This window comes from Homo sapiens, chromosome 10 (assembly GCF_000001405.40).
Source record: "Homo sapiens chromosome 10, GRCh38.p14 Primary Assembly".
Taxonomy (NCBI): domain Eukaryota; kingdom Metazoa; phylum Chordata; class Mammalia; order Primates; family Hominidae; genus Homo; species Homo sapiens.
Genome location: NC_000010.11, coordinates 65,039,577 through 65,042,017, shown reverse-complemented (window position 1 = coordinate 65,042,017; position 2,441 = coordinate 65,039,577).

Genomic DNA, 2,441 nt, shown 5'->3' with positions numbered 1-2,441 from the left:
CTCCTAATGCTATGCCTTCCCTAGCCCCCTGGCCCACACCCCCGACAGACCCTGGTGTGTGATGTTCCCCTCCCTGTGTCCATGTGTTCTCATTGTTCAATTCCCACTTATGAGTGAGAACATGCGGTGTTTGGTTTTCTGTTCCTATGTTAGTTTGCTGAGAATACCTAATTTAGGTGACGGATTGATGGGTGCAGCAAACCACCATGGCATGTGTATACCTATGTAACAAACATGCACGTTCTGCACATGTATCCTAAAACTTAAAGTATAATAAGAAAAAATTTAAAATTAAAAAAACTGGAAAATAAAGCAACAAACAGGAAAAAATCTTGCTAGATGGTACAGGAATAACATTAGCACTGGATTGGTGGGTGAAAGGGTTATTTTCTAAAAGGAAGAAAGGTCCTTTGAGAAACATAATAATTTTGCCTACTATAATCAATTTGCCCATTATGTTATTGTATTATGCCTCATGTTTTACACCCATGAAACACATTGTTTTTGCTGACATTGATAAACACGCTTCCTTGCAGAAATCTTGACCTTCTCCACTTATTTTACATTAATTTTGCCTTTAATAATTTCTCTCTTTTTTCTATAAAAAATTCAATTAATTTTTACCACTTCCACATATTTTTCCCTGGGCACCTTACTAAGGTTCTCTCTCCTTACTTTCAGATTTCTATAACTTTACAATTAAGTGGACAATATTTCTGGATACTTTTGTGATATCTCTGGCATTATTACCTTAAACATCTATTTTTTTTCTGTTTTTCATGTATCTATATCTTTCCACAATAATGCTCTTTTTCCACAATGGCTTCTATTTTTATTCTCAGTTTGGGGCTAAGAATTTTGCTACCTTGGTACTCAGTGAGCCCAATAAGTGTTTTAAATACATAAAGTGTAGGCAGTTAAGATTTCTTGGGATCTTCTGCTCTTGATCAAAATGGAACTATGAGTCACCTGTTTCCTGATTTCCTTCAAGCTTTCAAACATACTCATAAGTACTGGCATCACTGTTTGTTCTAGGGCTGTGTGAAACCATCTACAGTATAAGGATGTCCCAGTTGACTTCTAGTAGGTACATGAAATGTTGACACCTTCATGCCATCATAGGCATAACTACACATTGTTCCAATATCAGCAAATGTTACAGAAGACTAGATGAATACTAGTGAGTAGTGGGCTTCATCTGATTACTTATTCTGTGACAGACACTTTATTTTGGTTAAGTGTGCAGGCTGCAGTTTAGACTGGGTACAAATTTAAGCTCTCTGTGAATTGAATTATTTAAATTCTTTAATCTTCAATGTCCTAATTTATAAAATGGTAAAAAGATAATAATAGATTAACAGATTATTAGTAGTAGATTAGTTGTTAATAATACAAAATGAGTTAACTCAAGTGAAGAATGTCATTCAACATGTGGCAGGGAGGAAGTATACACTTGTAATTTATGTACATTTTATATAACTGTACACATTAGCTTACATGTTGATAAGTAACTTAAATCAATCCTCAGGATAATGGTGAGGTCACCGAAATTTTTGTTTTTTCTTCTATCATGTTTCACAAACGGGAAGTTTGGATTTCAATCTTACCTCTGAATACATAGTCAAGCTCCACATTATTTATGTATACTCTAGCAATTGTGTGCCTACTTAATTCAGAGTCAATACAGCCTAATTTTTTTCTTTTCTTTCCTTTTTTATAGAAATAGGTTCTTGTTTTGTTGCCCAAGCTGGAGTGCAGTGGCTCAATCATAGCTCATTGTAACCTAAGTCTCCTGGGCTCAAGTGATCCTCCTGCCTCTGCCTCAGCTTCCCAAGTAGCTGGGACTACAGGCAAGTACAACCATGTTCAGCTATTTTTTTCTGATTTAAAAAAAGTGATGAGAAATGAGTGACTAATGTGACTATTGTGGGATATACTGAAGTTGGTGACAGCTGACTTTGTTATAAATGACTTAGTGTTGTGCCTTGGTGTTAGAACCATTTGAAGGGTCTCATTTAACTTGGGGAGTGTTTTAGTTCATTCTCACCCTGCGATTGGAGACATACCCTAGACTGGGTAATTTATAAAGGAAAGAGGTTTAGTTGGCTCAGTTCAGCATGGCTGGGGAGGCCTCAGGAAACTCAAAATTATGACAGAGGTGGAAGCAAGCATGTCCCTCACATGATGGTAGGACAGAGAAGTGGCAAGCAAAGGGGAAAAGGCCTCTTATAAAACCATCAGATCTCATGAGAACCCACTCACTATCATGAGAACAGCATGGGGGAATTGCTCCCATTATTCAATTACCTCTGACCAGGTCCCTCCCACGACACGTGGGAATCATGGGAACTACAATTCAAGGGGAAATTTGGATGAGGACACAGCCAAACCGTATCAGGGAGTAACTACTTTATTGCTGTTTATTTTTTTTCTGAACTTCA